Raw genomic sequence first — 22804 nt, forward strand, 5'->3', positions numbered from 1 at the left:
TACTGAACACTCAGCATGTGCCAAGTATAATGCAAGGTCTAGGGATATAGCAGATGTAGCTGTTTTCTCTATCACACGTTTAGCTTTAGTGGCTTTGGGGTAAGGTAGGGTAGAAAGTGAGGCTGGATTTACCAGGCAACAAATAAATACTCACATAAGTAATTGAAAATTTCAATTTTAGTATGAGTTATTACAGAAAGGTAAAGGTTTTAAAACAGGAGTAACAAATAAAGATTGAGAAGAAGATTGGGGAAGATCTCCCTGAGGAAGTGAGCTGGGGGGCAAAAGAGTAGGAATTAGCAGGAGGTAAAGACAGGACAGCCTTCTAGCTGAAGGAAAAGCGAATGAGGGAGGCTGAGAGCCCCAAGAAACATAGCGCACTTCAGAGATTGGCAAGAAAACCACTGGTGCCTTTAATTCATTTTACTAAGAAGCTGAATGGCCTGAGATGAGGTTATAAATCTGGATAGAGAGAAATCATGCACCCATTTTAAAGATGTTTACCTTTATTCTAAGAGCAATGAGAAACCATAGAGCAGTTTTCAGCACAGGAATGACATACACTTATTAGTGTTTTAAATGTTAGGTTGAGTTTTGCTTGAACCAGGGCAAATGGAGAGAAGTTCAGTTGTGGATAAGCCATTGTCAAGCCTGAGCAAATGGTGGCCTTGCTTAGGCTGTGGACAATGAAGAAGAAAGTGAATGTTTGTATGTGAGATTTAGCTTATATATTTAAAATTCTACAGAAATCACTAGTGAATAAATATTATGGATGAACCTATTTCTAGCAAGAAGGAAAAAATGTTTAAAACAAAAACATTATATTAATTGTGACTCATTATAGTATGCTACAAAGCAAAATAGTTCTCCTTATCATCTCCCCACATGAAGACATTTTTATTTTATGTAAATTTTCATTGTTTGGTTCATCCACTTTAATCTATTGAAGAAGATTCCAAATTGTCTACAAGATTCCACCGTCTCCCTTCTTTAGTCCCTTCCCATTAAAACTAATGACTATTTAAAATCCACAGATCTGGTCCTGCATAAAAATCATAGATGATTCTCCATTGCTTAAAGAATGCCTTAAATAATTTTAAAAGCTTATTTTCAGGCCGGGCGTGGTGGCTCACGCCTGTAATCCCAGCACTTTGGGAGGCCGAAGTGGGCGGATCACAAGGTCAAGAGATTGAGACCATCCTGGCCAACATGGTGAAACCCCGTCTCCACTAAAAATAAGAAAAATAGCTGGGCATGGTGGAGCACATCTGTAGTCCCAGCTACTTGGGAGGCTGATGCAGAAGAATTGCTTGAACCTAGGAGGCAGAGACTGCAGTGAGCCAAGATCACACCACTGCACTCCAGCCTGGCGACAGAGTGAGACTCCATCTCAAAAAAATTAAAATAAATAAATAAATAAATGAAAGCTTATTTTCAACTTGCAAACGGAAAATATAAAAAGACATGAGAATCTCTGCATAGAAATGTTTTCCTCTAAGCAACTAAATTTCTTTTATTTCCTTTCCCTATAATCTCCATTTCAAATCTGAAAACCCCACACACCCCAATTGTGAATTGTTGATGTATAAAACTGAGAAACTTCCACAATCTAGCTCTAAGTTACATTAAAATAGTGTCATCTTCTGCTTCTCTTCACCATGCCATCCTACTCGCTTTTTCCAAAAAAAGCACTATTAAATTTCATCTTTTATTTCCCCAGAATGGTTTCATTCATTTTTTCTCTAAGTATAAAAAACCCTACTCATCATTAAGTACATAGCAATTGCTAAATTTTTTGACACCTTCCTCATTTTCCTAGGCAAAATTTTTTTCCACACGTAGTACGTTCTTTTCTCTCTTGTGATGGCCTGTGAACGTTTGCCTTGTGTTAAGCTTATTTCTGCCTCTCTGAGAAAAATGTGAACTTTCTGAGGAGGAAGGATGTTTGTGGTCTTCCCTAGAGCCTAGTCCATTGCCTGATATATAGTGTGTGTGTTTGGTTATTTTTATAAACTCTTTTTTTATCTTAATGTTTTTATTTTATCTCTGTGAGGAGAAAATTTGCAATGGGTCTCTAGCATTTGTGTACTTCTTGTGAGTAGAAGCACGGACTGTCTGCTCTGGAATACCTTTGCAGGGATAGTTGGATAACAAATAGGTGCAAAGTAGAGCTAGTGTTTCTCTCAGAAACAAAGGATCACTCTGTTCACTGTCTGATATAATGATAACGATGTCTCTTTCTGGGGCCAAGATTAGGCAGGCTTACTGCCTCTTATAAAAGATTTGGCTTCCCCAAACTCAGACTGCTCTCCTGGAACACAACCCACTGTGTTCACAGGTATCACCTGACCCTGCTTGCTTTGACTTTTGGGAACTGGAGTTGAAGGAACTGGAACAAAGGCTGAGACTGTGGATGCTGTTATTGCTGTCAGGAATAAAATCCTTTGTCTCTGATCCTGGAGTCTCAAGTCTTCTGCCAGCTTCTATGAATCCACAGCAGATTAACTTGTTAGTGGATAAGTAGGATAAAATCTCAGACCCTTCATGGTTCTTAACAATGACCAGGCCACCAACTGTCATGCCAGATTCTGTCTCCTTTTGATTTTTATTGGAAACCAACCAAACATTAAGGGCTTTCCTCCAAAAGAGGCAACATTGAAGACAAAAGAAGAGAGAATTTTCCTATGTTCTCATGCCTGGAAATCATTAATCTTTAATCTGTGGGAAAGGCTATAAATCAATGGGAACTGACATTTCAAGTTATAAATGAAACTGCCTTAATATTTCAAAGACACTGACCCTAAATGTCTTCCAAAATGTACAGGACTGCTCCAGTGTGTAGAAAGTTTAATTCTAGATTTTTGAACGTATATTACTAAAACTATTACTTAGCACTACATTGATGACAAAATAAATACATCTTAGGCTGATAACACATGTTACTTGGGTCATATTCCCATTTTATAAAAAGTTAAATGTATGTTGCCAAACCAATTTTTTATTTTTGAAATGATATACTCTTTCTTTATCAATATTCAGCTGACTGCTAACCTGCAGAAAGTGTAAATTTTTTAAAAGTAGAAAAGTAGTGTCTTGGTCTGCTTGGGCTGCTATAACAAAATACCATAGACTGGGTGGTTTAAACAACTAACATTTATTTCTCACAGTTCTGGAGATTTGAAAGTCCAAGATCAAGATGCCAGCTGACTCAGTTTAATGTGAGGGCTTCCGTCTTCTCTGGCAGACCCCAGCTTTCTTGTTGTTCTTCTCACATGCTAGAAAGAGAGAAGGAGTGCAAGCTCTTTGATCTTTTCTGATAAGGGCACTAATCCCATTATGAGGACCTTTTACCATCATGATCTCACCTAAAGGTAATTACCTGCCAAAGGCCCCATCTCAAAATAGAACCACATTGAGGGATAGGGTTTCAACATATGAATTGTGGGGAGGCACAATTCAGTCCATAGCAAGCAATATACTGTTTATATTAGTAATATTATGCTCCTACAATGAAAGTATTAATATCTCTTCTTGTAAACCTAATCTATATTTGCAGATAAATCTAAAATGTTGATAACACTAAGTTATAAAAAGTTTTTTCTCTTCTTTATTCTATAATTTTTATTTAAAAAATATGAATAATATTTTGTTTTACACTTACATGTATTTATTATTTTTCAATAACAACAAAAGCATGGTTATAACTTTTACTTAGATATGTTTTATAAGAAACTATTCCAATGATAGATATGTTTTATAAGAAACTATTCCAATGATAGTTAAAAAATATTAGACAAAGTCAACATAGAATATGTTTGTATGCCCACAATGGTCCTAATTGATTAATACTTGTGAACTAAAAGAAAAAAATAAATTCTAATTGATTAATACTTGTGAACTAAAAGAAAAAAATAAATTCAACCATCACTTTACACATTTGTAATTGATACATTATATGCACACTATTTAGGCAGCTAGTCCTATCTCCTTTGTCTAATATTTCTCATAAAATTATATAATTTAAATTTTCAAATTTATCACAAGTAGAGAAAACAGGAAAACACGGGAACCCCTCACCTAATTTAAATAGTTATGACCACTTGGCTCTTTAGGAAAAAAAACTCTACATCCTTTGTAATCCAGAATGAAAAATTTTAAGAGCAAAATAGTAACATTCCTTCTTAAATAATTTATTAAAGGGAAGTTTTGGTATACTGGCAGTTAGAAAAGGTGTGGGCCCGAGGAAATGGAGAGGAAATAGAGGAAAAAATGCTGGGAAAAAAAAAAAAAAAAGAAAGGTTTCCAATGGATTGTCATTACCCTCATTTTGATAGTTTTAAAGCTAGTACTTGTAGTAACATGAACTTTATTGAGCACATAAAATATTTCCTATATTAACTATCTCATATCTTGAAGAGGTGTTAACAACTGCTAGATCATTATAAACCACTTTTTCCAAAATAAGTCTTTAATTCATTCTATATTAGTTCATTCTCATGCTACCATGAAGAAATATCCAAGACTGGGTAATTTATAAAGAAAAGAGGTTTAATTGGCTCAGTTCTGCATAGCTGGGGAGGCCTCAGAAAACTTACAGTCATGGTGGAAGGCACCTCTTCACAGGGTGACAGGAGAGAAAATGAGAACCTAGCGAAGGGAGAAGCCTCTTATAAAACCATGAGATCTCATGAGAACTCACTTACTATCACAAGAGCAGCATTGGGGGAACCAACTCCATGATTCAGTTACCTCCCACAGGGTCCCTCCCTAAACACTTTGGAATTATGAGATTACAATTCAAGATAAGATTTGGGTGGGGGCATAAAGACAAACCATATCACATTTTTTCACTCGTTATCAAAACAAATATCACTTGAAGATCTACTGTGACCCAAGTGTTTTGAGAAGCACTGAGCTTAACAGCATTAAAAGAGACATAAGTTCTAGTCTAGAAAATATTTTTTCTTGACACCTCTAATGTATTATGCGTTCCTTTTTTACTCATAATATACTTATAAGTATACTTATAAGTATATTTCCATTTGAAAATATGTTACCTGTAGGCAAAACCCCATCGTATATTCACTGTGTGTAGCTTTACTTAGTAGGCAATCAATGAATATATATTTGAAAGGTTTATATTTTTATTGCAAATGAATATAATATCAGGGTTTATATCTCACATTTATTGTGCTGTATCATATGCTCATTTCTTCAACTTTAATTGAGATTACTAACTTTTAGCTTCTTTTATTTATAGAGTCAAAAAGACATAAATTTTCCTATGACATTGTAATTGTAATTCCATTAGTTTCCCCTAAAAAGAAACAATCTTATGATTTTAGCTTCTTAAAATTTTCAACTTTATAATTTTCTTTTAAATCAAGACCCAAAACTTAACCCAGCACATCCAAAACTCTTTTTTAACCTACCATATGTTTTCATTAGAAACCACAAATAATATAATGATTATAAGAAACTTGTAAGTAATATTATCACAGATTACCTCACTTATGAAAATAAGTGATTTACTTATGTGGTAGAGAATAATAAAAATTAATTAGTACAAATACCTATGCTGTCCAATGGAAGTTTACTATAAAATATATGTTCAATGATTTCTTTTGTTTTGCAAAAAGAGATGGAAATGTCATCACAGATCTGATTCTTTCCTTTACTTCATACCTAAACAAACAAATGGAGAATTAAATAACTTTGTAAAAATTCCAGGTGATACCTCTCCTTCAGTGAAAGTTGATCTTGGAATACAGTTAACCTAATTAGGTAATCTTGTTCTCTATATATAGCTTTAATTAATACATAACTGATATTCTCTAATGTAGAACATACTGAGAGTCTTCAGGTTGCCTGTAATGACAGTTGTGCTGCTCTTAAGGGATCTTCTCAAGTGGGACAACACATCTTTCAGGTCATCATTGCTTGCTATGGGGAGAGTGATTTGCCTTGAATGTAAAGTACTTACGGCGCAACTTGAAAATTGAGAAAAAGAATAATTTTGTTGCTGTATTTGGCCACAAATTTTATTAAAATATATGTCAAATGCTATTTTTCATTACTTCTCTATTTTACTGTGATTTTTGGTTAAGACAACCATTTTGTAGCAAAGTCACTGTCTCCATCTTAAGAGTTATGGCATAATTGTTTGGTGCTAATTATTAAAAGAAAATAGTCATCCATGAAACAAATGGCCTGCTTATCTAGATAAATTGTCATCTTTTAAATGATATAGATGATCAGAGATTGAACTGTTTTCATTATCAGGAGAATTAAAATGGGAGAAGAATGTTCAAATGGTGTAAAGTTGTTAGTGGGAGCGTTTGATTCTCACCTTTCTACCCCAGAACTATGCTTGAACTCTAGCTTCCACCAGAAAAAAATAAAACTTAAAAAAAATTCCTCATGTTATTTCAAAATGCCTGACATTATTATAGATATCTGCATATTATTTAAACCTTGAAATCCATCATCTTAATCCTACTCCTATTATTCTGTTACCACATCATTAGGAAGTCCCTATAACTAGGGAACCCCAGATAAGATGCATGGTGCCATGGATCTTTCTGCCAAACCAGTATATAAACACTGCCATTAGGGAACCAAAAATGTAATAGATGCTCAAATAATGTCCTGGCAAATTACACCTGCTTGATGTCAATTGGCACAGAAATGGCTACAGCAGTAGTTTTCAAACTTCAGAGTGCATCAGAATCACCGGGGGATAGAGGCAGGGTGATGCTGAGGCTGCTGGTTCAGGGATTACATTTCGAGAATCTCTGGGCTAGAGCAATATAGAAGTTGAGAGGTGGACCTCAAGAGTCACCCAATACAGTCATGTGTAGCTTTTAGATAATTCATGACCTTAAGCCCCAAAACATCAAGGTGGTGGCTAGCCCCAATCTCTCCAAAAGAAAATATAGGAGGACGAGTGGAATGAGGTCTTTGCTGTTGCAACTGATCTTGAGGCCGTAATTGATACTCATAATCTCCTTTCTTTACCACATGTTCTAGATTGATCTCACTCTTGGCCAGCATTTAAACAGGTCAAGTGGTATGACTTGCCTGGTATTATGACTCAGCTTTTCATCTCCAACACTGTTAGAGGCCTTTGTTGCTTTACCTAGTCAGGCATGTTTGCTCCCACTGGCCCTGCAAGCCTGAAAACACCAAAAATGGTGTCAGTTAATTTCCTGAGTCCCTTCACTCATTACAGAGAAGCAACACCATTTTTCATTGGTACTATGGTTTGGTTTATACCCACCAAAATTCAAACTTTTGTAATTTGATCTGCAACATAGTGATGTTGGGAGGTGTGGCCCAGTAGTAGGTGTTTTGGTCAGGGGGGCAGATTCCACATAACTGACTTGGTGCCACTTTCTCATTAGTAAGTGAGTTCTCATTCTTCAAGACTGAATTAGTTCTTGCCAGAATGGATTAGTTCCCTCCAAAATGGGTTGTATAAAGTAAGGATGCCCCTTGGGTTTTGTCTTTTCGCACATGTCTGCCTCTCTTTTGACCTTCTTTACCATGTTATGATGCAGCACAAAAGCCCTCCTCAGTAGCCAGGTCCATGTCCTTGAACATCCCAGCCTGCAGAACAGTGAACTAAATAAACCTTTCTACCCAGTCTTGGGTATTCTGTTATAGTAGCAAAACATACTGAAACCATTGGTAATCATCAGTACATTATGTTGAACTATGATACTGCCAATCCAATACACTGCCCAGCCCCTGAATTCATATGTGTAATTTCAAGGAGAGAGGCATCAGTGCAACGTAGGTAGATGACATAGTAACCTGTGCAACCTGTTCATGTAAGTTATTTTTACCCTCTGGGATCTGCTTGGATTCACTCTTGAATATATCATTTCAATCATGAAATGGATTGTTTTTGTACTAACCCAAATGTATGCCTCATAGAATGTAATAATACTCAATTTGTTATGGACAAACCATTGTTGTCCACAGTCAGGTGTTCAGTCTTTAGTGGGGCCCAGTGTCATTCCAGAAGATATGCCAAATGCTACGTTTTCCTCCTCTTGCTCCACAACTATAATGGTTTGCACTGTGACTCTATTAGGGTATGATAGGGACACCACACAATATCCTCATCCAATGGATACCTCCAGCACCATCCAATTTGCTGAGTAATACAATCCAAATGACAGGGCAGCTTAAACCTCAGCCTGAACCTACTTCACAGTTCTTTCTTCCTATGGGTCCCACTCAAAACTAGTAGTCACCAGGTATGTAGACTGGAGCAGAATTACCATATGCAGTATATGGCCTACAAAATCCAATGAGGCTCATCAATAATCCATTACTTTCTTAGTTTTAGGGGATGCAAAGTTCATACATTTCCATGAATTTCTTAAATTGACAAATTAAAATTGTACATATTTATTGTAATACACCGTTAGCTCTTAAATATATATATGTTGTGGAATGGCTCAATCAAGCTAAGTAACATGCACTTTACCTTCCATACTAATCATTTTTTGTGGTGAGAACACTTAAAATCTACTCTTAGTGATTTTCAAGATATTATATATACATTTTTGTTTACTATAGTCACCACGTGTTACAATAGATTTCTTGAGTTTATTCCTTTTGTCTAACTGAAATTTTGTATCCCATGCCCAACATCTTCCCAACTTCCCACCTCCCAGCCCCTGGTAATCACCATTCTACTGTGCCTGGCTTGTTTAACTCAATATAATGTTCCCCAGGTTCATCCACATTGTTGCAAATGACAGGATCTCCTTCATTTTTAAGGCTGAATAGTATTCCATTATATATATATATTATATATTTTTATATAATATTTTACATATATAATATTATATATATTTATATATATGTGTGTGTGTGTGTAATCTATTGATGGACTGTCAGTTTGAGTCCATAACTTGGCTATTGTGAATAGTGCAACAATGAACATGGTAGTACAGATATCTCTTTGACATACTAATTTCATTTTCTTTGGATATATCCCTAGTAGTTGTATTACTGAATAATTTGGAAGTTCTATTTTTATTTTTTTGAGAAAACTCCATACCGTTTTCTATAATGACCATTTAATTTTATAGGGTATATCAGCAAGGTCCAGAAAAATTTTATCAGTCTGGCAAGGTCTTGGATCTTCATGGGGTTATCTCTCCTTCACTTTCATTTACATGCCTTGTTAAGGTATTCAAAATATTTACTAGCTTCTTTTCAATAGGTGCTATTAGTATGCCACCAATATGGTGAACTAGCCTAGTGTACTGTGATATGTCAAGTCAATCAGTGTGCCTCTGGTCTATATTTTAACGAATAACAACAGAGTTAGCATAGTTCCAAGAAAGTGAGATCTACGTAGAACAATTATACTGAAGTTCTGTCAAGTGGCACCTTTAAGAAGCTGTTTGTTACTCCAGAGAAATAGAACTAATAGAATTTGTGTGTGAAGTGATTTATTATAATTGGCTCATGCATTATGGAGACTGGCAATCTAAATCTGCAGTGTGGACCAGCACACTCAAGACCCAGGAAAGCCAATGGTGTAGATGAAGTCCAAAGGGAGTCTGTTGGAAAATTATTTTGCTCAGGGAAGTGACAGTCAATATTTTTATTCTTTTGGGGTCTTCAACTGATTGGATGAGGCCCGCACACATTATGGAGGGCAATTTTCTCTACTGATTAAAAGGTTAATTTCATCCAAAAATACTCTCACAGAAACACCTAGGATAATTTTTCACCAAATATTTGGATATTTCATGATCTGATCAATTTGACGTAAAATGGGTCATCATGGCTGTAATAAAATGTGGAGCAAAAGGATATAAGGTTAGGGAAGAAGACAGTATACAATATACCTTCTCTTTGAAACTTGGAATCTAATACAGAAATGTAGTAAAAATGGTTAAGTCAAAGCTGACACATAGTGTACAAAGAGTGGAGCAGACGGTGCAGTCTTCCCCAGTACAGACAAGAGTGTGCATTGTCTACAGAGAATTTAATAACAATAACAAATTGGCTATGATTTGCCCTACTATTATCACTGTGTTCCAGCAATTCTAAACAATTCAAAAATAAAATACTCCTCCTTGAGAAACATCTTTGGTAGATCTAATTTCAAAACAATTCCTGAGGTTCCCATTGAGATTTAATAATATTATATACACGCAAGATTTAAGCTAGAAAAAAATACTTATTCTTTAATAAACAATGTATTCTATGTGGAAGTTAATTCAAGGAAGCCCAGTTAGACAGACCTGCCCTGACTGTGCTGCACATGGTAACTTTGAGACTGGAACTGTTGGGAGTCATTCAAGCTCTCTTCAGATGCTCTTTGTGTCTCCAGTCCCTGTGGTCTTGCATATTCTTGCATTACACCTTTAGATTTCAAATAAACAATGACAGTACAGTGACCTGTAAAATAAAAAAAATGGAACTTGAGTTATTTCAGTTTTGTCATTTTAATAATACATACAAACTATTCTCTAAACCATAGAGAATTTACTCCTTTGGAAATATCTGTTACTTTTTTCTTGTTCATTTTTTCTGATTATTATTTTTGATTTAATTTTATTATTATTGAAAATAATAGAAAAGGAAATAAAAATAATGTGCTCTGGGTGTGAAATAAGAGAGAAAAGGATTACAAAGTATCTGCCCCAGTATCAAAGGTACTAAGCTGAGAGTATTCTAAGTGCTCCCAACAGTTGTAAAAGAAACAGATGAGAAAAAGAATGGAATTCTAGTTGTGGGGTAAAAGAGGAAGCAATTGGGGAATCAATTCAAAAGTTTTAATTTTTAAAGGTTTTTAATTTTTATGGGTATATAGTAGGTGTATATATTTATGGGGTGCATGAGATATACTGATAAAGACATACAATGTACAATAATCACAACAGGGTAAAGAGAGTGCCCATTGTCTCAAGAATTTATCATTTCTTTGTGTTCCAAACGTTCCATTATACTCTTAGTTATTTTTAAATATACAAAACATTTTTTGTTGACTGCAATCACCCTGTTGTGCTATCAAATACTAGATTTTATTTATTCTATCTAATTACATTTTTGTACCCATTAACCATCCTCACATGCCCCCTCACCCACTACCTTTCCCAGCCTGTGTAACAATTATTGCACTCTCTATATCCATGAGTTCCATTGTCTTAATTTTTAGCTCCCACCAATGTCTTTCTGTGCCTGGTTTATTTCACTTAACACAATTCTATCCACGTTGTTGCAAATGACAGAATCTCATTCTTTTTAGGGCTGAATAGTATTTCATTGTGTATATGTACCACATTTTCTTTATCCATTCTTCTGTTGATGGACACTTAGGTTGCTTTCGAATCTTGGCTATTGGGAATAGTGTTGCGATAAACACAGAGTGCAGACATCTCTTCGATATTCTGATTTCCTTTCTTCTGGATATAGCCAGCTGAGGGATTTTTGGATCATAGGGTACTTCTATTTTGAGTTTTCTGAGGAACCTTCATACTGTTCTCCATAATGGCTATACTAATTTACATTCCCACCTACAGTGTACAGGGTTCCTTTTTCTCCACCTCTTCGCCAGCATTTGTTAGTGTTTGTCCTTTGGATAAAAGCCATTTTGAGGCTGGGCACTGTGGCTTACGCCTTAATCCCAGCACTTTGGGAGGCCAAGGCAGGCGGATCAAGAGGTCAGGAGTTCAAGACCAGCCTGGCCAACATAGTGAAACCCCGTATCTACTAAAAATTAGCCGGGTGTGGTGGTGGGTGACTGTAATCCCAGCTACTTAGGAGGCTGAGGCAGGAGAATTTCTTGAACCCAGGAGGCAAAGGTTGCAGTGAGCCGAGATCTCGCCACTGCACTCCAACCCAAGCAACAGTTTGAGACTCTTATCTCAAAAAAAAAAAAAAAAAAAAAGCCATTTTGTCTGGGATGAGATGGTATCTTACTGCAATTTTGATTTGCATTTCTATGATTATCAATGATGTTGAGCACCTTTTCATATATCTGTTTGCCATTGTATGTCTTCTTTTGAGAAACGTCTGTTCAGATCTTTTCCTAATTTTTAAATCAGATTTATTACCTTTTATAAATAGAGTGGTTTGAGCTCCTTATATATTCTGGTTATTAATCCTTCGTCACATAGATAGTTTGCAAATATTTTCTCTCATTCTGTGGGTTGTGTCTTCACTTTGTTGATTGTTTTCTTTGCCTTGCAGAAGCTTTTCAACTTGATGTGATCCCATTTATCAATTTTTGCCTTGGTTGCCTGTGCTTATGGGGTATTACTCAAAAAATCTTTGTCCAGTCCAACATCCTGGAATTTCCCCAATGTTTTATTTTAATAGTTTCATAGTTTAAGATCTCAGATGTAAGTCTTTAATTCATTTGACTTAATTTTTGTATATGGTGAGAGAGAGGAGTCTCGTTTCATTCCTTTGTATGGATATCCAGTTTTTCTAGCACCATTTATTGAAGAAACTGTCCTTTCCCCAGTGTATGTTCTCGGCACCATCATTTAAAATGAGTTCATTGTAGATGTATGGACTTATTTCTGGGCTCTCTATTCTGTTCCATTGGTATATGTGCCTGTTTTTATGCTAGTATCATGCTGTTTTGGCTACTATTTATCTGTAGTATAATTTGAAGTCAGGTAACATGATTCCTCCAGTTTTGTTCTTTTTGCTCAGAATGGCTTTGGCTAGTCTATGTCTTTTGTGGTTCCACATAAATTTTAGGATTTTTTTTCTATTTCTGTGAAGAATGTCCTTAATATTTGGATAGAGATTGCACTGATCTGTAGACTGCTTTGGGTAGTATGGAGATTTTAGCAATACTGATTCTTCCAACTGATGAGTATGGAATATCTTTCCATTTTTCATGTGTCCTCTTCAATCTCTTCCATCGATGTCTTATAGTTTTCACTGTAGAGAGCTTTCACTTCTTTGGTTAATTCTCGGGTATTTTATTTTATCTGCAGCTATTGTAAATTGGATTACTTTCTCGATTTCCTTTTCAGATTATTTGCTGTTGGCATACAGAAATGCTGTAAACGTTTGTATGCTGATTTTATATCCTGCAATTTCACTGAATTTGCTTATCAGTTCTAGCAGTTTTTTCATGGAGTTTTAAGGCTTTTCCAAATATAAGATCATATCATCTGCAAACAAGAATAATTTGATTTCCTCCTTTCCAATTTGGATGCATGTTGTTTCTTTCTCTTGTCTGATTGTTCTAGCCAGGATCTCCAGTACTAGGTTGAATAACAGTGGTGAAAGTCAGCATCCTTGTCTTGTTACAAATCTTAGAAGAAAGGCTTTAAGTTTTAACCCACTCAGTACGACACTACCTGTGGGGATATTGTATATGGTTTTATTGTGTTGAGGTATGTTCTTTCTGCACCCAGTTTTTTGAGGGTTTTTGTCATGAAAGGATGTTGAATTTTATAAAATACTTTTTCAGCATTAATTGAATTAATATATGATTTGTATCCTTCATCCTGTTGATATGACCTATCACACTGATTGATTTACATATGTTGAATTATCCTTGCATCCCGGGGATAAATCCCACTTGGTTATGCATGCTGAATGATCTTGTATATGTATTGTTGAATTTGGTCTGCTAGAATTTTGTTGAGGTTTTTGGATCAATGTCCAACAGGGATAATGGCCTGTAGTTTTCTTTTTTTGATGTGTCTTTGTATGGTTTTCATTTCAGAATAATACTGGCCTTATAGAATGAGTTTGGAAGTATTCTCTCCTCTTCTATTTTTCAGAATAGCTTGAGCAGAATTCATTTTAGTTCTTCTTTAAATGTCTGGTAAAATTCAGCAGTAAAGTCGTTGTATCTCAGGCTTTTCCTTGCTGGAAGACATTTTATTACAGCTTTGGTTTCATTACATGTTATTGATCTGTTCATATTTTGGATGTCTTCATGGTTAAATCTTAGCAGGTTGTATGAGTCTAGAAATTTATCCATTTCTTCTAGGTTTTCCAATTTGTTGACATATATTGCTCATAGTAGGCTCTAATAATTCTTTGAATTTCTGTGGTATCAGTTATACTGTATCCTTTTTCATCTCTGATTTTCTTTAATTGGGCCTTTTCTTTTTTTCTTAGTCTGGCTAAATGTTTGTTGATTTTGTTTATCTTTTTAAAAAAAAACTTTTAGTTTTGTCGATCTTTTGTACTTTTTCTTTCAATTTCATTTTTTTCCTGCTCTGATCATTATCATTTCTTTTCTTCTGATAATTTGGGCTTTGGTTTGTTCTTGTTTTTCTAGTTCTTTAAGATGCATCGTTAGGTTGTTTAGTTGAAGTTTTTCTACTTTTTGATGTAGTTCCTTATTGCTATAAACTTTCTTCTTAGTACTGTTTTTGCTGTATCCTACAGGTTTTGGTATGTTGTGGTTCCATTTTCATTTGTTTCAAGAAATTTTTAAATTTTCTTCTTAATTTTTAATTGACCCACTGGTCATTTGGGAGCATATTGCTTAATTTCCATGTGTTTGTATGGTTTCCAAAGTTCCTCTTCTTATTGATTTCTAGTTTTATTCCATTGTGGTCAGAGCAGACATTTGTATAATATTTTAATTTTTTAAAAAAAATTTAAAACTTATTTTTGGCCTAATGTATTTTCTGTCCTTGAGAATGATCCATGTGCTAGGAAAAGAGTATGCATTCTGCAGCTGTTGGACGAAATGTTCTGTAAATATCTATTTGGTCCATTTGGTCTATAGTGCAGATTAATTCCAATGTTTCTTTGTTGATTTTCTGTCTGGAATGTCTGTCCAATAATGCAAGTTGGGTGTTGACGTCTCCAGTTATTATTACATTGGGATCCATCTCTCTCTTTAGCTCTAATAATATTTGCTTTATATATCTGAGTGCTACAGTGTTGGGTGCATATATATTTAAAGTTGTTATACCCTTTTGATCATTATATAATGATATCTTCATCATTATGTAATGACCTTGTTTCTTTTTGTAGAATTGTCTGAAATCTATTTTGTTTTCTATAAGTATAGCTACTCCTGCTTTTTTTTTTTTTCAACTGCAAGGAATATCTTTTTCCATTCCTTTCTTTTCAGTTATGTGTTTCTTTATAGGTGAAGTGTGTTTCTTGCAAGGAATGGACTGTTGGGTCTTATATATTTTTTTTAATTCATTCAGCTTCTCTCTATCTATTGATTAGAGAAGTTAGTCCATTTATATTCAATTTTATTCTTGATAACTAAGGACTTACTACTGCCATTTTGTTATTTTTTTTCTGTTTGTTTTGTAGACTTCTCTTCCTTCCTTCTTTGTTTTGAAGGTGATTTTCTCCAGTGGTATGTTTTAATTTATTGCTTTTTATTTTTTATGTATCTTTGGGAAGCTTTTTGATTTGAGGTTACCCGGAGACTTGCAAATAACATCTTATAACCAATTATTTTAAACCAATGGCAACTTAACACTCACTGCAAAAACAAACTAATAAACAAACGAGCAAAGAGAAATCTAATGAAAACTTTACACTTTAATCTCATCCCCCAACTTTTTAACTTTATGTTGTTTATATTATATCTTATTTTATTATTTCCTGAAAAGTTGTAGATTTTATAATTTTATCTTTTAGCCTTTATACTCAAGATATGAGTAGTTTCCACACCATTACTGGCGTTATAATATACTGTTTCATAAACAGATCTAAAAACAAAAATCACATGATTATCTCAATAATTGCAGAAAAGACTATCAATGAAATTCAACATCCTTTCATGTTAAAAACTCTCAATGAAATAAGTATTAAAGGAACATATGGCAAAATAAAAAGAGCCATCTATGACAAACCCACATCCAACATCATACTGAATGAACAAAAAAGCTGGAAGCATTTTCCTTGAAAACCAGCACAAGACAAGGATGCCTTCTCTCACCACTCCTATTCAACACATTAGTGGAAGTCCTGGTCAGAGCAATCAAGCAAGAGAAAGGAATAAAGAGCATCCAAATGGGAAGACAGAAAGTTAAACTACCCAGTTTTCTGACGACGTTATTCTACATCTAAAAAACCCCACAGTCTCAGCTCAAAAGCTCCTTTAGCTGATAAACAACTTCAGCAAGGTTTCAGGACACAAAATCAATGTACAAAATCACTAGCATTCCTATACATCAAAAACAGCTAAGCCAAGAGCCAAATCAGGAAGGCAACTCCATTCACAATTGCCACAAAAAAAATAAAATACCAAGGAATTTGGCCAACCAGGGAGATGAAAGATCTCTACAGTGAGAATTACAAAATATCGCTCAAAGAATCAGGGAAAACACAAACAAACATAAACTCTTTACCTGCTCATGAATAGGAAGAATCAGTATCAATAAAATGGCCATGCTATCCAAAGCAATTTACAGATGCAATGCTATTTCCAACAAACTACCAATGAAATTCTCCACAGAACTAGAAAAAAAGTATTTAAAAATTCACAGGGAGTGAAAAAAGACAAAATAGCCAAGGCAATACTAAACAAAAAGAACAAACCAGGAGACATCATGTTACCTGACTATGAACTATACTACAGGGCTACAATAACCAAAACAGAATGATAGTGGTATAAAAGCAGGCACATAGATCAATGGAACAGAATAGAGAGTCCAGAAATAATGCCACACTGCTAGAACCATCTCATCTTTGACAAAGCTTACAGAAACAAGCAATGGGGAAAAGATTCCCTATTCAATATATGGTGCTGGGATAACTGGATAGCCATATGCAGAAGATTGAAACTGGATGCCTTCCTTACACCGTAAACAAAAATCAACTCAAGATGGATTAAAGACTTAAATGTAAACTCCAAAACTATAAAAACTCTGTAAAACAATCTAAGCAATAGCATCCTGGACGAAGAAACAGGCAAAGATTTTATAACAAAGATGTCAAAAGTAATTGCAACAAAAGCAAAAATTGGCAAATTGAATCTAATTAAATTTCTGTGCAGCAAAAGAAAATATCAACAGAGTAAACAGACAACATACAGAATGGGAGGAAATACTTGCAAACTATTCATCTGAAAAAAGCTCCTATATGTAGCATCTATTAGAAATTTAAGCAAATTTATAAGAGAAAAACAAACAACCTCATTAAAAAGCAGGTAAAGGACATGAACAGACATGTTTTGAAAGAAGACATACATACAGCCAACGAGAATATATAAAAAAGCTCAATATCACTGATAATTAGAGAAATGCAAATCAAAATCACAGTGAGATACCGTCTCACACCAGTGGAATGGCTATTACTAAAAAGTCAAAAAAGAACAGATGCTGGCAAGGTTGTGGAGAAAAAGGAACGCTTATAGACCATTGGTGGGAGTGTAAATTATTTCAACCATTCTGGAAAGCAGTATGACAATAACTCAAAGACCTAAAATTATAATTACCATTTGACCCAGCAATATACCTGGAAGAATATAAATCATTCTACCATAAAGACTCATGCACTCCTATGTTCATCACAGCAGTATTCACAATAGCAAAGACATGGAATCAACCTAAATGCCCATAAATGGCAGGCTGGATAAAGATAATGTGGTACAAATACACCGTGAAATACTATGCAGCCATAAAAAAGAACAAGATCATGTCTTTTGCATGAACATAGGTGGAGCTGGAGGCTATAATTATCCTTAGCAAACTAACACAAGAAACCAAATACCACATGTTATCATTTATAAATGGGAGCTAAATAATGAGAACTCATGAACACAAAGAAGAGAACAACAGACACTTTAGACTACTTGAGGGTGGAGGATTGGAGAAGGGAGAGGAGCAGAAAAAAATAACTATTGGGTACTAGGTTTAGTACCTGGGTGATGAAATAATCTGTACCACAGACCTCTGTGACATGAGTTTGTCTCTATAACAAACCTGCAAATATACATCTGAACCTAAAATACAATTTTTAAAAACTTAGAAAAAAATACCAAAAGAATTTTGATAATAATTGATATTGATTACATGTTGAAATAACATTTTAGATATTTCAAGTTAAATAAAATACATTAACATTTTAAAAATCCATGTTTGTGTGTTTACTATTACCAGTGAGTTTTGTACCTTCAGATAATTTCTTACTGCTTAACAACCTTTTTTTCAGATTAAAGAACTCCTTTTAGTGTATTTTGTAGGACAGGTCAGGTGTTGATGAATAGCCAAAGCTTTCACTTTGTTTGGAAGTACTTATTTCTCCTTCATGTTTGTAGAATATTTTCACCAGATGTACTATTCTAGGGTAAAAGGTTTTTTTCACCTTCATACTTTGAATATGTCATGCCACTGTCTCCTGGCCTGTAAAGTTTCCACTGAAAAGTTTGCTGCCAGATGTATTGGAGCTCCATTGTTGTTGTTTTTTTATCTTTCTACTTTTTGGATTCTTTCTTTATCCTTGCCCTTTGGGAGTTTGATTTTTCAATGTCTTCAGGTAGTCTTCTTTGGGTTACATCTGCTTCATGTTCTCTGACCTTCTTGTACTTGAATATTAATATCTTTCCCTAGGATTGAAAAGTTCTCTGTTATTATTCTTTGAAGAAATTTTCTACCCTGATCTCTCTTTCTACCGCCTCTTTAAGGCCAATAACTCTGGGAATTGCCCTTTGAGGCTATTTTCCAGATCTTTTAGGCATGCTTTAGTCTTTTGTCTTTTGTCTCCTCTATGTATTTTCAATACCCTATCTTCAAGCTCACTAATTCTTTCTTCTGTTTAATCAACTCTGCCACTGAGATACTATGATACATTCTTCAGTATATCATTTGAACTTTTCAGCTCTGGAACTTCTGCTTGATTCTTTTTAAATTATCTCTAACTCTTTGTTAAATTTATCCATAGAATTCTGAATTCCTTCTCTGTATTGTGTTAAATTTTGTTGAGCTTCCTCAAAATATCTATTTTGAATTATCTGTCTGAAAGGTCACATATCTCTGTCTCTCCAGGATTGGTCACTGGTGCCGAATTTAGTTTTTTTGGTAAGATCATATTTTCCTGGATGGTCTTGATGCTTGTGGATGTTCATTGGTGTCTAGCATTGGAGAGTTAGGCATTTATTGCAATCTTCATAGTCTAGGCATATTTGTATTCATTCTTCTTGGGATGGCTTTCCAAGTAGTCAAAGGGAATTATGTGTTGTATTCTAAGTCTTTGGTCACTGCAGCCATATCTGCATTAGGAAGCAACTCAAGCCCAGTGACACTGTGACTCTTGAAGACTCGTAGAGGTATCACATTTGTGGTCTTGAGTAAGATCTAGGAGAATTTTCTGAATCACCAGGAAAACACTCTTGTTCTCTTCCCTTACTTTTCCACCAAACAAATTGAGCCTCTCTTTCTTCGTTGAGCTGTCTGGAGCTGAGGGAGGGGTGACACAAGCACCGCTGTGGCCACCACCACTCGGACTGCCCTTGGTCAGACCCAAAGCCAGCAGAGCACTGCTTCTCACCCAAGGCTCTTGGCAACCGGTGCCTGGTTACTGCCCATGTTCCCTCCAGGCCCAAGGGCTCTACAATTAACAGGTGGCAAAGCCAGCCAGGCTTCTGGCCTTCCCTTTGGGGTAGTGAGCTCCCCACAGCCCAGGGCAGGTCCAGAAATGTTGTTTGGGAACCACAGCCTAGAGATGAGAACCTTGGGAATCTACCCAGTGCCCTATTTTTCTGTGGTTAAGCTGGCACCCAAGTCACAAGACAAAGTCCTTCTCACTCTCCTTTCTTCTTTCCTCAAGCAGAAGGAGCCTCTCCCCATGGCCATCACCACCCCAGGCCTGCAGCAAGTATTGCCTGGCTACTGCCGATGCTCACTCAAGGCCCAAGGGCTCTTCAGTCAGCTTGTGGTGAATGCTGCCAGACCTGGGTCTTTCTGTTCAGGTCAGTGGGCTCCCCTCTGTCCCAAGGTGGGTCAAAAAGTGCTTTTTGGGGACCAAGGCCTTGCATCAAGGACCCCAGGAGCCCACTTGATGCAGGATGGGAGAGGACTGGTGACAGCAATTCAGGAGTGGCTTTTCTACCATCTTCAGTGCCTTTTTCTTTAATAGGATTTTAAAACCAGGTACTGTGACTGCTCATCTGATTTTTTGTTCTCATGAAGGTGCTTTCTTGTGTGGATCGTTGATCAATTTAGTGTTCCTGTAGAGGAGCGGAGGATGATCACTAGAGGGTTCTATTTGGCTATCTTGCTTTTCCTCCTCAGTATTTAAGTTTTAATTTTTTTTTCAAATTCTGTACCTATTGCTACTGACTCAGATAATTTTTTTGTAAATTAAGTTATAAATCGAGTAAATCAAAACAATGCAAATGCCTTTCTTCTAAAGTTAATATCTAAATAATTTGTTTTCCCATCTGCCCTAGCAAATAAGCATATAGAAGAAGAGAATAAGCCTTTTCCTCTATTGAAATTGTTTTACTAACATATGGTAACAGACATCTTAAAATACATGCAGACATTTGGCTAGTTATTTTCAAAAATATCTTGATATAATCAGGCTTAGATGTAAACCAGTAAAATTATACATACTTGAGATTTACTTTTTTTAAACATTTACTTTAAGTTCAGGGGAGGGGTATATGGGCAGGTGTGTTACATAGGTGGAAGACCATGTGGTGATTCCCCAAAGACCTAAAGACAGAAATACCATTTGGCCCAGCAATTCTATTACTGGGTATACATATACCCAAAGGAATATAAATCGTTTTATTATAAAGACACATGAATGTGCATGTTCATTGAAACACTATTCACATTAACAAGGACATGGAATCAACCTAAATGCCCATCAGTGATAGACTGGATTAAAAAAGATGTAGTACATGTATACCATGGAATACTATGCAGTCATAAAAAAGAACAAGATCATGTCCTTTGCAGGGACATGAATGAAGCTGGAAGCCATCATCCTTAGCAAACTAACACAGGAACAGAAAACCAAATACCACATGTTCTCACTTATAAGTAAAAGTTCTAGCCAGGGCAATCAGGCAAGAGAAAGAAATAAAGGGCAGCCAAATAGGAAGAGAGGAAGTTAAACTATCCCTGTTTGCAGATGACATGATCCTATATCTAGAAAACCCCATAGTCTCAGCCCAAAAGCTTCTTAAGCAGATTTGCTTTAAAGTGATCCATCAGGGAAATGGAATAAATGAAAAGATACATAAAATGAGATGGCAAAATTCTGAAGTTGAATGATATATACCACTGTCTTTGAGTTCAATATATCATTCTCTACTTCTGTGTTTTGTTTGAAATGTCTTATAATTTTAAAAAGGTCTCATTTTAGAATACTTAGAATTATTGTCAAATGCCAAAGCAGGCATAGTAAATTATTGTTTCCTTGACCATTGAGGATATATATTGCAAATCCAATGTTTTATATATTTCATAATTAAATCATCTCATGGTCAAGATTGTCAATTAATAATAACCACCTTTTTAAAAGCCAAGATAAACTCTTCCATGCATTTTTGTATACTAGTACATTAGCATTTCATTTACATATGTATCCCAGTAGATAATAAAATTATAATACCTCAGTTTGGGCTCTGTCTGCACATATACCTACAGTCTATATTACTCTACAATGGCCTCTGTCTCAAGCTGAATGTGCTAGGCTCTGTAATGTTCATACCTAATGTCATCTTTACACCTGTTTGCATTGATTTTAATATATAGTATCTTTCCTTAACATATCCTAAAACATATCATGATTTGAAGCATTTATCAAGGAGGTCAGCTTTGACCTAACGACCACCCAGCAGAAGCATGATGGAAATGGCTTGTGTGAGACAGCATAGTGTTTCATATTCTCTGTTAACAGTGACCTGCAAACAAAGTCTAAATCCAGAGGAACTTAACTCTCAGCCATTGGTAGGGTAATGCCTCAGACAGCTAGAGACACAAGGAATCTCAGATATATTTACTATTATTGAGCTGTGGATCCTGTTCCGAGGCAACAAATCTCAGATGACTCGGGAACCTCCACTTTTGCCTCTCCCCTGGGGCCACATATTGCCAGCAACACACCTACAAGTGAAACAAAATTACGTTTATTCGCTGATTGTAGCAAGCGAAACCACACACCATAGGGAGCAGTTAGGAATTGGGAGGGACTTATAGGATTTGGGTTCAGTAAGGACTTGGACGAGACTTACAGGATTTATGCTCACATTAGATAATTGTTGGGGAGTGTTCCAGGAAGGAGGGGCTTGTTCTAGATTGGGAGCTTTTCGAGAGGGGGCAATACTATGATTAGATACCTTAATAATTTTTACCAGGATGAGATAATAAAAAATAAAACAGATCTGAACGGTAAAGAAGCAGAATTCTGTCCTGTTAGCCAAGGAGTCAAGGGGGATATTTGGTAATTTTTGAAGTTTGCATAGTAACATTGAATTTGTTTGTACTTAAACATAATTACCAAGTAGTCTTGTTTGTGTTTCACTTCCCACATTCACAGAGCAATGTTATCAGATGTTGGTGATCTTTAAAACAGTTTATATCCCACAGTAAAATTCAATAGCCAACCTATAAGTGCCAGTCCAGCTCTTAACAATATCAGGCATAGATATTAGGCCCAGCTGTTACGGATTCCTTTTTTCCTTCTCAGGGGTCTATCCTTCCATTAGCTTGAAACATGGTATTATCATTTATGTGCATCAAACTTGATCAATATTGACAATTTCAGATAGTTCATCTTACATTAAGATCAAGAAGATGTTATGCTTAGTCTACATTAGCTTAAAGCACACAAAGTATGTCTTCTTTGTATTAGAAAATGTAAA

General features: G+C 35.5%; 2 long non-coding RNA genes across 2 annotated transcripts in view; one reads left to right on the plus strand and one right to left on the minus strand.

Annotated features, from left to right (window-relative positions):
- Positions 1–22804, plus strand: part of LINC01111 (long intergenic non-protein coding RNA 1111) — a 117703-nt gene that overhangs the window by 74147 nt on the left and 20752 nt on the right. The gene's annotated exons all lie outside the window — the stretch shown is intronic.
- Positions 3136–22804, minus strand: part of LOC107986952 (uncharacterized) — a 113744-nt gene continuing 94075 nt past the window's right edge. The window contains exons 2-4 of the long non-coding RNA XR_001745962.2: positions 21944–22046; positions 10275–10431; positions 3136–3275 (exon numbers count right to left, since the gene is read on the minus strand). This is a non-coding gene — a long non-coding RNA (uncharacterized LOC107986952). The remainder of the gene's footprint in view (positions 3276–10274; positions 10432–21943; positions 22047–22804) is intronic.

Source organism: Homo sapiens, chromosome 8 (genome assembly GCF_000001405.40).
Source record: "Homo sapiens chromosome 8, GRCh38.p14 Primary Assembly".
Classification (NCBI taxonomy): domain Eukaryota; kingdom Metazoa; phylum Chordata; class Mammalia; order Primates; family Hominidae; genus Homo; species Homo sapiens.